Genomic DNA, 14,225 nt, shown 5'->3' with positions numbered 1-14,225 from the left:
TGTAGGGGTTCTCTTGTAATTCATATGGATGTATATTTATCCCTGTTTTATGGGGTTTAAAATTATTACAGAAGAGGCGTATGGTTTTTATATACTGTGTTTACATTCGGCCATACCTGTAAAGATGCCAAATTCTTCATCAAAGCTATAGTGCTCCTCTCCCACATTGCTACATTGTTTTTGTGGGATGAATATAATCTACTTCATAATAATCCACTTTAAAATATGTTTACATTATGGGGGAGAGGAACATTTCATAGCTTTCCTTCCATTTCATAGTGGGTCATGCCAGCTGGGGTGGAGAAGTGGGGAGTGGGGATTGTCTTGAGCTGATTAATGGTTATTATTATTATAGATAGTGTCTCACTATGTTGCCCAGGCTGGTCTTGAACTCCTGGATCCTGGGCTCAAGGGATCCTTCTGCCTCAGCCTCCCAAGTAGCTGGAATTACAGGGCTATGCCACTGCACCTTGATTTTGTTTTATATGATCCCATGGTTTCAAAGCTAGCTCCGTTGTTTTCATCGAAAGACAGCTAGTGAAGAAAAGGAGAAGAATGTAGCATTTTTTAATATAAGGTATCTCCAAGTGGTAGGATTTTTTTAAAAAAGATAACTGGATATGGTGGCTCACACCTGTAATCCCAGCACTTTGGGAGGCTGAGGTGGGAAGATCACTTGAGGCCAGGAGTTCCGGACCAGTCTGGGCAACATAGCATGACCCCATCCCTACAAAAAGTGAAAAAATTAGCCGGGCGTGGTGGCACACACCTTTAGTCCCAGCAACTTGAGAGGCTGAGACAGGAGGATCACTTGAGCCCTGGAGGTCAAGGCTGTAGTGGGCTGTGATTGTGCCACTGCACTCCAGCCTGGGTGGCAGAGGGAGACCCTGTCTCAAAAAAAGAAAAAAGACAACATCAAAGGAAATCAGAGAGTTACATTATGGGATTAGGTTTCTAAGTCAGTGCTTGAAGTGAAAGTTGCCCTTGAAAATCCCACAGGCACAGAAGGGCTCACGTTCTTAGGAGGCACATGGGAACTAAGACAAACCAAAGAGCAGCAGATTTGAGTCTCCTGCTTTGTATTGCAGCTGGCGTTGGTGTTTATTGAGGAATCTGAAAGATGCCTACATGATTTACGTCTTTGTCTCTACCTTTCTTTGGCCCACACTGGTACGGCTGTAATCCCATGAGTCACATCTGGGTGTGGCGTGTGTGACCACATCCTCCCAGCCGTGCAGTCCTCCTGCTGGAGGCCTGGCATACAGAAGTAGTTTTCAAACCATGTTCCTCAGCTGAGGGTCCCAAGGAAGGTGAACAGCTGTGGATTTGTCACCCACTGCCCTCCCTTCCTCCCCACCTGTTTATCTCAAGCAAGGGCTCAGTATTCTGGGTTCTTGATAAGACGGGTCTGAAAACTGTACAGCTGCTTAAAACATTTTTTTTCTTCTTTTTGCAAAGTTTGAAAACCAGTGAGGTAAACCAAAACTGCTGGGACTTACCGCTACCTCTTCCCTGACTATTGGTGTGGCTTGGGAAATGTTACTTTATCTTTCTGGTTTCAGTCTCTTCGTTTATAAGGTGCAGGCTTTGAGCTAGATACTCTCAATGTAAGACACCTCTGTTAAGAATCAGCTACATCAGAGAACTTTCTGGAAACACCCTTGGCAGCATTACTGTGGTTTCACCAGTGCTGAATTAGAATGACAGCATATACACCTCTCAACGTTCCCTGAGTGTGACTGAGATGAGGAAATAGAGGGAGGAGCCATTTTCTCTTCAGCCTCTTCACTGCTGAATAAAATGAGTAATGACCCCTTGCCAAAGGGCACTCTCTGCTCCAGGGGATTCTCTTTTCTGGAATGAGATTACTTATTTGCTTAAGATAGTTTTATTAGACCAAAAATAAATAAAATTTCTTAACAGTTGACTAACATTTCCTCAACAATTGTGTTTACCTTTTTTTTTTTTAATAGAAACACTCTTTTTTAAAAAAATTACCTTGCATTGGTCTTCTTGTAGGTGATTTGAAAAGAGGCTGGACTTTATGATGCAGAGTTTTCAAGAGTTAAATTGGCTGAGCCCGAGGAAGAACATTTTGGGTTGCATTTAAAATACTTGTTATTTGATATCTTAATTAAAACATCTGCAGCTACTTTCAGAACAGCTAATAAGAGATGTTGACATTGGTAGCCAATGTCAGATTATATGTTATGGATGAGCAGTCCTCACATGTCTCCGTTTTTATTTTTATGTCTTTCAAAATGCGCCTCTATCCTCATCACTCGCCACCTGGCCGCCCTCCCACGGAGGCTTCTGGAGGCTTCCGTTCAAGGGCCTTCCCCTCAGCCTTGACCAATCTGAGCAAGTGGGAGCTGACTGTATCAGGAGCGCCCTCTTGAGGACACACTTGATGAGGGAAACTAAAGAAGTTTTTCCTTCAGTTCAGCATTGCACGCTGTTACATCTCAGTGCAGGGGAGAAAGAATGGATTTCATGAGACACAAAAGTTCATTCATTTTTTGTTTTTCTGTCCTTTGTTTCCATCAGGTCAGCCACCATCCGCCTATCTCTGCGTGTCATGCTGAGTCTAGAAATTTTGTTTTCTGGCAAGGTAATGTGCTAATACATTTTACTTCCATCATATTGTGTAATATGTTATCTATTTATTTTATCCAAGAATTGCTGTCAATTCTTACTGAGATCAAAAGTGGTCCTTGGATTTGGGCCTGGTTGGAAGGATCTGCGCCACCTGTTCTTGCCTCTCATCTCTCACTTAGTTTATCTGAGCCACCTCCATTTATTTCTGTAACTTTATCTTATGTAAAAATCATTTGAAATGCCTCACATATTTCAAGAGACATTAAATATTTACAGTTGTTTATCAGAGTGTAGACAGCAGAGGGGTTTTCAGCTTTTGTCAAACTTAAATTTTATTTCTGAAGTCGTGTTTTACATTGCTTACTTCTTTTCATTTTTGAGATGATTGTTCCTAAAATTTTGTTCAGTTTATATTTTGAGTTGGGGTTGGGTGGGTAAATCTTCTAAAGAATAAATAAGGCTATAGATATTTCCTAGATGGATTAATTTTGTTAATCTCTCAATTTATTAAAAAAAAGTGTACTGTAGAAGGAACATATAAGCATCCTAGGTTTTTGGACAGTGAGCACATATACATTTTAAAAATATTTTTCTCTGCTACTAGTGATATCACACGTTACCTTTACACACACAGGCACACACACACACGCAGTCTATTAAACTTTAAAAGTACGAAACAGTATACTGTAACCCCCTTCCCCAGCCACTCAGTTTCTCTCTTTGGAGGCAATCAGTATTTCCAGTTTAAAGTGACAAGTACCATGGTTTTCTTTCTTCACCTTTGCTATTAAAGTTTAAAATTAAAACTGCTCTCTCACCAAAACCCTCTGGAAATATTCTCATAAGGTTCCTAGCCTCCTAATTGGTAAATCTCACTCATGCTATAAGCACCTCTTCTTTGTTTTTTCAAAAGTTGGATTTTTTTTTTTTTTTTTTGAAATGGAGTCTCAGTCTGTTGCTAGGCTGGAGTGCAGTGGTGCGATCTCGGCTCACTGCAACCTCCGTCTCCCGTGTTCAAGTGATTCTCCTGTCTCAGCCTCCCGAGTAGCTGGGACTACAGGCATGCGCCACTATGCCCAGCTAATTTTTGTATTTTTAGTAGAGATGGGGTTTCACCATGTTGGCCAGGATGGTCTTGATCTCTTGACCTTGTGATCCGCCTGCCTCGGCCTCCCAAAATGCTGGGATTACAGGCATGAGCCACTGCGCCCAGCCAAAAGTTGGATTTTTTTTTAATGCGAGGGGTCTTCTCAAAGTAGTTTTGTGTGCTCCTGTGTTACATCCTTCCCTTCTCAGCCTTAGCATCCTTCTCCTAGGCCATACTTCCCCATCAGCCTTTTCCTGAGCAATCTACCTATTTCCATGGGCCTAGGATTCCCAAATCTTGCTTTGTAACCCAGCCTGACATTTCTCTGCCTTTTATGTAGGTTGTGTAAACCATTTCCGTTTGTTGTGATTGTAGATGTAGCTGGGCTTAAATCTGCCCTCATGATGTTTCTTTTCTGTTTGTCACATCTGTTCTTTGTTCTCCGTTTCCTCTTTCTCTGCCTTTTGGATTGAATAATTTCTATCATTCTCTTTCATCTCCCCTGTTAGCTTATTAGCTATACTTACCTGTTTTGTTTCTTGTTAAAGTTGTTACTTTAGGATTTATGTTATATATTTTTAATATCATCAAATAATATTATGCCAGTTTCATATAGTGAGATTTACAGAAGTATACTTCCATTTTCCCTTCCCAACCTCTCTACTATTTTTTCATACGTCTTCTGTATATCATAAACCATGTAGTACATTGTTAATACTTTAGCTTTAAACAGCCATCTATCTTTTTTTTCTCTTGGTAACAATTTTATGAACATATAACTTATATACCATATCATTCACCCGTGTAAAGTGTACAATTCAATGGTTTTTATTCACAGAATTGTGAATTTAATAAACTGTGCAGTTATCAGCACAGTTAATTTTAGAACATTTTCATCACTCCAAAAAGAATCCTCTTTAGCAAATATTATCCACCCCCTCTGCCACCTGCCCCATTTCTCTCAATATTCCCCAGCCTATAAATGTGCCTGTTTGGGGCATTTTATATAAATAGGATTAAACAATATGAGGCCCACTGTGCTCGCTGGTCCCAGACCCACCTCTCTCACCTGGACCCCAGCCAGGGCTCCCCACTGTCCCCCCTGCTTCAACCCTGATTTCCCTGTGATCTGTAGATCCTCAGTGCAGCAGCCAGATGGGATCCTCTTGCTGTTCTTTTTCTATTTCCTGGCTTCTCTGTTGGTACCACCATTCATTGCAAGTTAGAGAAATCTGACATTGTTCATAAATTCGTTCTTTTTCAGTCTGTATCTAACTTGTCACCTAGTTGACCTAGTGCCTATTTCTTCTTCTTTAGTATTTCTGGGCTCACTCACTTCCCCGCGTCTGTTGTCTTGGTTCCCTTCATCCCGTTTGTTATCCCCTGGGCAATTGCAGTAGCCTCTTAACTTGTCGCCTTGCTTCTCCTCTCTCCTACTCCTGTTCCATTCTCCATATGGCTTCCAATTGCCTTTGCAAGGTCCATGTCTAATCACATCAGTGGCCTGATTATTTCCACTCAGTGCACACAAACCAGACTCTTAGCCAGGCTTGGAGAGCCCATTGTTTTTCGTTTTCAGTTTTGTTTTGTTTTTTTTGGCAGAATCTCACTCCATCACCCAGGCTGGAGTGCAATGGCATGATCTTGGCTCACTGCAACCTCCACCTCTTGGGTTCCTGCCTCAGCCTCCTGAGCAGCTGGGACTACAGGCACCCACCACAACGCCCAGCTAATTTTTGTATTTTTAATAGAGAAGGGGTTTCGCCATGTTGGCTGTGCTGGTCTCGAACTCCTGATCTCAAATGATCCACCCACCTCTGCCTCCCAAAGTGCTAGGATTACAGGCATGAGCCACTGCACCTGGTTTTGTTCTCAACCTTTCTACTCTTCTCTAGATAAGACAATCTGAGACCTATAGGACAGAACCACACTATTTGACTGTGTTTTCCTATACTTCCGTCCCCTCAGACAAGCTATTTATTTGGCCTTAAATTGCTTTTTCTCTGCCCAGTGAACTCCTGCTTATTCCTCAAAGCCCCATTTAGATGGCCCTTTCTGACAAGCCTCTTCTGATGCTTTCTCCAAGCATATTCGTCACTCCTTCTTCTCAGGTTTCATTTTACCTTATAACACACTCAGTTATAGCCTGGGCCTCTCTGTGTGCTTACTACTTGTTTTCACTTCTCGCATTCATGGAAAGGACTTTATCTTATCATTTTAGTTTCCCTGATTCTGCTCCAAGGGCCCATATGGGGTTGGTACTTATATTTTATGAAAAGTTATCCTATACAATAATTGACTTGATTGTGAAGAGGTTGTACTATATAGCGATTGATCATTTATCTAGCCTAGGAACTATTTCATCTACCTACCTCTCCTGCTAAAAATGTAATATTTGGTATTTCATTTCAGATGTGAGATGGAAAAACAAATTCTGGGGCAAATCCATGGAAATTGTTCCAATTGGCACAACCCATGTGACTCTGCCAGTGTAAGTTCTTCTTCTGTGGTTAAGGAGCTTTATGGAATTTAGGGCCAAGATTTTGCTTTGGGGACAGGATGCCCACCCCCGCCCCCGGCAGTTGCATTGAGTGTGTATTTTTTCTTTTAATCTGTCTGACAGTAGGTTTAAATGTTCCTCCTTTTGGCAAGCTCACTTTTAAAAAATGTTTCTCCCTCAAATGGAAATGCCTCCTGGAGACCAAAGTTCCCTGAATAGATGCTTATTAAAAACTCATTTCCACTTCCTAACAAGATTAAGAATGGTGGTTTTAGCTGGGCGCAGTGGCTCACATCTGTAATCCCAGCACTTTGGGAGGCCAAGGCGGGCAGATTGCTTAAGTCCAGGAGTTTGAGACCAGTATGGGCAACATGACAAGACCCTGTCTCTAGAAAAAATACAAAAATTAGCCAGGCATAGTGGTGGCACGCACCTGTAGTCCCAGCTACTCAGGAGGCTGAGGTGGGAGGATCATTTGAGCCTGGGGAGGTTGAGGCTACAGTGAGCTGTGATCGTGCCACTGCACTCCAGCCTGGGTGAAGGGGTGAGACCCTATCTCAATTTTTTTAAAAAAAGTGTTTTTCCTTTATTATGCTGCTTTGCTATCAAAATCCCTTTTAAGAAAAGTATGGCCTTGATCTGATAGGGATGATTGATACTTATTTATAAAGCAAGATGCTTCTGAGCAGGGACTCTGAAACTGGACTGCCGAGATTCACCTGCTCACTCTGGCACTTACTAACAGCGAATCCCTGGGCAAGTTACTTCACCTTTCTCATCACCAGTTTCCCCATCTAGAAAAAGAGAATAATAAACCACCTACTTCCTAGGGCTATTGTGAAGATTAAACAGATAATATACATGAAACACCTAAAATAGTACTTAGCACATTGCATATGTTTTGTAAGTATCTGGTCTTATTATTAATACCATTTTCCTCGTAATTATTGAATTCCATAAGTAATATCTGAATACTTTCTCATCACAAAGGATGCAGGCAATGTATGTTTAGCAGATTGTATAAAACCTTCATCCCTTTCTCAAGCTTCCCTTTCCTAGTTCAGCAACATTAGACAAGCCCCTCTGGCTCTGAATTGCCTCCTCTGTCAAAGGAGGGAGTGGGCTGTTCCAAGAGACCACCAGCTTCTAGTGAAGCCTCTGGTAGCTTCCAGAGTGCAAAGTCTGAATGCTGTCATTCTCTGTGGCATGCATGCCTCCTTGGAGAGTGGAAGCTCCTAGAACATCCAGTGTGACATAGACACTTAGCCAGTGTTGCTTCTGTGAATAAAGAGATGAATAATGCATTGCATGACTTATTTTATAAAAGAGCAGAGTTTGTTTGCATTTGCTGCTGGCTCTTCTAGAAATTGGTACTTCTACTTTTTCCTTCTTTTTAGTTTTGGGGATCATTTTGAGTGGAACAAAGTGACCTCTTGCATCCATAACATCTTAAGCGGGCAGAGGTGGATTGAGCACTATGGAGAGATTGTCATCAAGAACCTGCATGATGATTCCTGCTACTGCAAAGTGAATTTTATAAAGGTAACTCCAGTGACTCTCTGAGCTCTGACCCTGGAAGGGCTGTGGCAGAGCCAGGGCCCCAGAGCACAGGGCATTTGAGAGATTTTTCGCCTTCACCTTTATGCCAGCAGGCAAGCAATGCCTGAGCTCCTTGGTCCCAGCTGCACCTCTGTCACCTAGACCAGGGCAATGGCCCCTCCTGGCCTCTTACTCCCCTAAGGTCTGTCCTCCATACAGCAGCCAGAGAGACCCTTTTAAAACATAAATCACTGTGCTGCAGTATGTATGCACCTTGACAGCATTATGTTGAGTGAAATAAGTCAGCCCCAAAAGGACGAATATTACATGATTCCACTTCTGCGAGATCGCCAGAGGAATCCAGTTCACAGAGAAAGAAAGCAGAATGGTGGTCGCCCGGGGCTGCAGGAGGGAGGAAGGGGGAATTAGTGTTGAATGGGTATAGAACTTCAGTTTGGGAAGATGAAAAAGTTCTAGAAATAGATAGTGGTGATGGTTGCACAGCATTGTGAATGTATTTAATGCCACTGAATGGACCCTTAGAAATAGTTAAAATGGTCAATGTTACATTAGGTATGGTTTACCAGACTTTTTTTTTTTTTAATGTCATGCTGTATCATTCCTTTGAGCAAAATCCCCCAACAGCTTCCATCTTTCTCAGAGTTGAAGCCTGCATCCTTATGGTGGCCTGTCGGGCGCTGCACAGGCTGTACTCCCCATCTCCACCCTTTCACACACATACTTGCACACTTGCAGATACACCCATATACACACACGCCACCTCGTTCCTCTCCAACCTGAACTTCTCTTTTTCCTCCCTCTTTTTCCCCACTGTCCTCTGGCCACACTGGCCTTCTTTCTCTTTCTTCATTTCCTTCTGCTTGGGCAGCTGTCCCCAGATCCTTCCATCACCAGCCCCATCCTGTCATTCACTCCCTATCCTGTCCCATTTTCTTCAGAGTTCTTATCACCGTCTGAAGTCAGCCTGCTCATCGTTGCTGTGTGTGTTTATTTTCTGCTCTCCATACCCTCCTCATCATCCTTGACTCCAGAAAAGCAAAACCTAGTCTATCTTGCTCACTTCTGTAGCCCTGATTCCTGCAATGGTGTCTGGCACACATGAGAGACTCATAAACATTCAGAGAATAAATGGAAAAATTGGCCAGAGGCAAAAAGTATGGAATGGTCTCTCATTTTAACAGCCTTGCTGGCGGCCCTCCCTGCTTTCTCTCCCTCCTAGATTCCTTCTTGCTCTTAAAAATTGTATGTAGTTAAAACAGCTTTAAAACATGACCCTCCTCAAGGAATATTGGCATTTAACAAAGATCGAAATAATAAGCAGAGAGATGAGGTTTTATTGTGGAACTTCATGCAATGCCTCTCTGCACCACCTGTAACCTATAGGGAATACTTAGGAAGAGGTGGATTGGGGTCTTTATTATAGCCTCAAACTGGATTATAGACAGACATAAAGCCCATAATGACCTTACATGTGGGACAAAATAAAAATGACCCTACCTTGAAAGCTTTGTCTAAGCTCTCTGCAAACAGAAACAAAAGGCAACCTGAAGCAGGGATATGTTACCCGTGACCCAGGTGAAAGCCACGTTGCTCTCAACATTTTCTGCAAGGAAACATGCTCCACTCCCATATCTACCACCTACCTTGTTCTCATTCACTTACATGCAGAAAATGGGTGTATAGTCATGAGAGATGAACACTGGGCATGTCTGGTGTTGAAAGAGATGCTGCAAGTGGATGCCACACTCGCCTGTGGAAGGTGACAGTGTCCCTTGGTGGCTTCCAGCAAATTCTCAGCACTGGATTTGTTGGCAGATATCTCTAAGGGAAAATCTGACACCTGCTTCAGAATAAACTTAAGAGCCCGGGTGCCATGGCTCACACCTGTAATCCCAGCACTTTGGGAGGCTGAAGCAGGAGGCTCACTTGAGGCCTGAAATTTGAGACCAGCCTGGGCAATCTGACAAGACCCTATCTCTACAACAAATTTAAAAATTAGCCAGACACGGTGGCATGCACCTGTAGTCCCAGCTGCTGGAGAGGCTGAGGCAGAAGGAGCACTTGAGCTCAGAAATTTGAGACTGCAGTGAGCTATGATTGCACCACTGCACTCTACTCTGGGGAACAGAATAAGACCCTGTATCATCAAAAAATAAATAAATCAACTTAAGAGTCTCAATAGTCTTTTTTTTCTTTTTGCTTTTCCTTCATTCTTACATGGCTGGAGAGCTCAACTTTAAATTTCTAATTCAGGTCTGAGACACTTCCGTGCCCCACCATTTTTACCACAGCCTTGAAATGCGGAAGCTGAACTACCAGAATCTGACCTGAAAATGCCATTCAACATGATTAGTTTCCAAGTATGGACTCTGTTTAAGCTGAAAATAGTACTAGGGTTTTTTGATTTATGGAGAAATGCCTTTGCCATTCTTTCATAGAGATTTTTAGGGCAGCCAGGTAATTTGAAAAACAAAAAACAAACAAAAAAAACCAACTCTAGGGTGCTAGAGCTCCCTCTGCTGGCTGCAGTGTGGAACTGTATAAAATCCTCTGGGCTGGACTGGCCTGAGCTGGGCTGGACTGGCCTGAGCTGAGCTGAACTGAGCAGAATAGAGTGCAAGGTTGCCTCGCAGACCTGGACCAATACATAGTGAGAATACCCACACTACTCGCTTGATATATAGAAACTGAACCTTTTCTTTTCTTGTTCTTGTTCTTTTTTTTTTTTTTTTTTTTGAGATGGAGTCTCAATCTCACCCACTCTGAAGTGCAGTGGTGCAATCTCAGCTCACAGCAACTTCCGCCTCCCGGGTTCAAGTGATTCTCGTGCCTCAGCCTCCCAAGTAGCTGGGATTACAGGTGCCCACTACCACAGCCAGCTAATTTTTGTATTTTTAGTAGAGATGGGGTTTCACCATGTTGGACAGGCTGGTCTCGAACTCCGGACCTCAAGTGATCCACCCACCTCGGCCTCCCAAAGTGCTGGGATTACAGGCATCAGGCACTGCACCCGTCCAAGAACTGAGCCTTCTCTTACATTGTATGTAGCAAAGGTAGAAATACAAATGTATCTTACACAAATATTAGTTGAGTTACAAACTGCAGATAGTTAACCATTCATTTTTATTAAATAACTAAAGGTATGAGTTTTTTAAAGCCAAAATCCAAGCATAAAAACAGATACATAGACCAATGGAACAGAATAGAGAGCTCAGAAGTAAATCCATGCATTTATAATTAATTGGTTTTTGACAAAGTGCCAAGAACTCACAATGGGGAAAGGACAGTCTCTTCAATAAATGGTGTTGGAAAACCTGGATATCCACATGCTGAAGAATGAAATTAGAACTTTATACTGTAGACAAAAACCAGCTCAAAAGGACTAAAGACTTACAGCAAGACCTGAAACTGTAGAACTACTCAAACAAAAACATAAGGGGAAAAGCTTCATGACGTTGGTCAGGGCAGTTATTATTTTTGGATATGACCCCAAAAGCACAGACAACAAAAGCAAACATAGACAAATGGGATTATATCAAACTAAACAGCAAAGGAAACAATCAATACAGTAAAGAAACAATCTGTAGAATAGGAGAAAATATTTGTAAACTATACATCCGATAAGAGGTTAATATAAAAAATGAATAGAGAGTTCAATAGCAAGAAAACAATCAGATTTAAAAATGAACAAAGGACCTGAAGAGATGTTTCTCAAAAGAAGACATACAAGTGGCCAATAGATATATGAGGAAAAAATGATGAACATCAGTAATCATCAGGGAAATGCAAATTGAAACCACAATGAGATATCACCTCATATCTGTTAGAATGGCTATTATCAAAAAGATGAAAAATAATGTGTTCAGGAGGATATGGAGAAGAGGAAACACACCATTTGTGGAAATGTAAATTAGCACAGCTATTATGGAAAACAGAATGGAAGTTCCTAAAAACAATTAGAAATGGAATTACCATATGATCTGCCAATCCCACTACTGGGTGTATATCCATAGGAAATGAAATCAGTATGTCAAAGAGATACCTGCATCTCCATGTTCATTGCAGCACTATTCATAATGGCCAAGATAGGGAAACAGCCTAAGTGTCCAACAATGGATGAATGGATAAAGAAAATGTGGTACATATTAACACAATGGAATATTGTTCAGCCTTTAAAAAGAAGGAAACCCTGTCATTTGTGACAACATAGATGAACCTGGAGGATAAGTGACATAAACCAGACACAGACAGATGCTACATAATCTTACTTATATTTGGAATCTAAAAGAGTTGATCTCATAGAAGCAGAGGGTGGGACAATGGTTGATATGGGTTTGCCAGGGGTGGAGGGGAGGATTGGGAAATGCTGGCCAAAGGATCCAAAATTTCAGACAGGAAGAATTAGTTCAAGAAATCTATCGTACAACATGATGACTATAATTAATAACTGTGTTGTATACTTGAAAATTGCTGAGAGAGTTTTTGTTTTTGTTTTTGTTTTGTTTTGTTTTGTTTTTGAGACGGAGCTTCACTCTTGTTGCCTAGGCTGGAGTGCAATGGCGCGACCTTGGCTTACCACATCCTCCGCCTCCCGGGTTCAAGCGATTCTCCTGCCTCAGCCTCCCGAGTAGCTGGGATTACAGGCATGCGCTACCACACCCGGCTAATTTTGTATTTTTAGTAGAGATGGAGTTTCTCCATGTTGGTCAGGCTGGTCTTGAACTCCCGACCTTAGGTGATCTGCCTGCCTTGGTCTCCAAAGTGCTGGGATTACAGGCGTGAGCCACCGTGCCCGGCCACTGAGAGAGTTAAGTGTTATCATAAGTAAGTATGTAAGGTAATACATATGTTAATCAGCTTGATTTAGCCATTCCACAATGTATACATGTTTCAAGACACTATGTTGTACATGATAAATATATAAATTTTTTATTTGTCGGTTAAAAAAACGGAACCCAGAACTAGCAAACTAATATGCAGTATGGAGCCACTCTTACAGTCCTTTCTCTAGCTTTTCCTTTTTTCTTTCCTTAATATCTGTAATAAGCTGATGCTAAAGGACTAAGCCAACAACTCATTTGAATCCTAGGCAAAATACTGGAGCACTAATGCCCATGAGATTGAAGGCACAGTGTTTGACAGGAGTGGAAAAGCGGTTCATCGGCTGTTTGGGAAATGGCATGAAAGCATCTACTGTGGCGGCGGCTCCTCTTCTGCCTGTGTATGGAGAGCAAGTGAGTGTCTGGGTTTGTGGACCCCAGGCTGTGAGTGGGTGGATGGGTGGGCATGACACAAGAAGCCACAGAGGACAGGAGTAGTGTCTGTTCAGCATCTCCAGCCTCTTCTGCTTTGAACTAGGTTAGAGGTGTAGGCCCTCTTTCCTTCATCCAGTCTTCACCTCCCTGTCATGCTTACTTACAGCAACACCTCTGCTGGGCTGCTGGGTCCCGGGTTCTTAACCCCAGAACAAGCATTGCTAATCCATGGGCACTCTCTGAGGGAATCTGGCAGTCCACATGCATAACTCTACTGGGTACTATAAAAGAGTATCAGTGAAATGCAAGAAGTCATTCTACAGCAAGGACAAAGAGGAAAGTGTTCCTGGAAAAGCAGTGACCCAGGAGACCTACAAATGTTAACTATCCCCAGGCTGACCTAACCCCAAAAGCCATCCTCATCACTCCTGTGATTCCAGAAGGGTGCTGAGCTCTTGGAGCAGATATGGGCAGAAGAGCTAGGGAACCCCAGCTTTCATCAGCATGTCCCCACCATACTTTAACATCTTATTCCATCTCCTAAGTCCGAAAATTATGTTGTTTCCAAGTCACAGTCATATTGTAAACCATTGTTCTGAGATATAACTGTTAGGATGCTTCAGGCTGGTAAAAAACCAAACAGAAAACCATTTGACTGGTGGTTTAAACCGTTAGGCTGTGTGCTATTACACAACAGTAAGTGAGTGGGGGGGGTGGCTCCAGGGTTGTTACATAGGCAATTTACCTGTGTCAAGGACACACAGATCAGTGAGGATACATTCTGCTACTCCCAGTGTGCCGTGGTGTTTCCCCTAATGAATGCAAAATGGTTGTTACCATTCAGTGTCATACCCCTGCATGACAGCATACCAAGCATGTAATGAGAGGACAAAAGAGCTTTCCTCTCTCGTGCCTCTCTTTTCTCAGGAACATTTCCTAAGATCCCGCAGCAAATGGGACTTTATATCACGTCAGCCTGCAGTGGGTTCAGACCCATCCGTGAACCAGTCACGGGCAACAGAGTAGGCAAGAGAGATTTAGATGTCTTGGATTAATCCCCAGTAAGGGCACAATGCCATTTGAACAGAATCAGTATTCTGTTAGCAAGCAAGAAAGAGAAATGATGGTCAAGTAGGCAGCCAGCAGTGGCCCTTTCAATGGGTAGCTGCCACATCTCCCACTGTTGCAGAGGTTGCCGTGAAGTTAGAATGAATTGGCACCAGTG

The 14,225-nt window shown here is 42.5% G+C and overlaps 1 protein-coding gene across 36 annotated transcripts in view; it reads left to right on the top strand.

The window, feature by feature from the left end:
- Positions 1 to 14,225, top strand: part of OSBPL3 (oxysterol binding protein like 3) — a 185,309-nt gene that overhangs the window by 159,060 nt on the left and 12,024 nt on the right. For all 36 annotated transcript variants that reach the window (NR_104112.1, NR_104111.1, XM_047420146.1 and 33 more), the window contains 4 exons: positions 2,548 to 2,611; positions 6,098 to 6,176; positions 7,583 to 7,727; positions 12,835 to 12,979. Coding sequence is in view for 34 of the 36 variants with exons in the window: in XM_047420146.1 (XP_047276102.1) it covers positions 2,548 to 2,611; positions 6,098 to 6,176; positions 7,583 to 7,727; positions 12,835 to 12,979 (433 nt within the window). In the remaining 2 variants the exon portion in view is untranslated. The remainder of the gene's footprint in view (positions 1 to 2,547; positions 2,612 to 6,097; positions 6,177 to 7,582; positions 7,728 to 12,834; positions 12,980 to 14,225) is intronic.

This window comes from Homo sapiens, chromosome 7 (assembly GCF_000001405.40).
Source record: "Homo sapiens chromosome 7, GRCh38.p14 Primary Assembly".
Taxonomy (NCBI): domain Eukaryota; kingdom Metazoa; phylum Chordata; class Mammalia; order Primates; family Hominidae; genus Homo; species Homo sapiens.
This window is presented reverse-complemented; position numbering and strand designations above follow the sequence as displayed.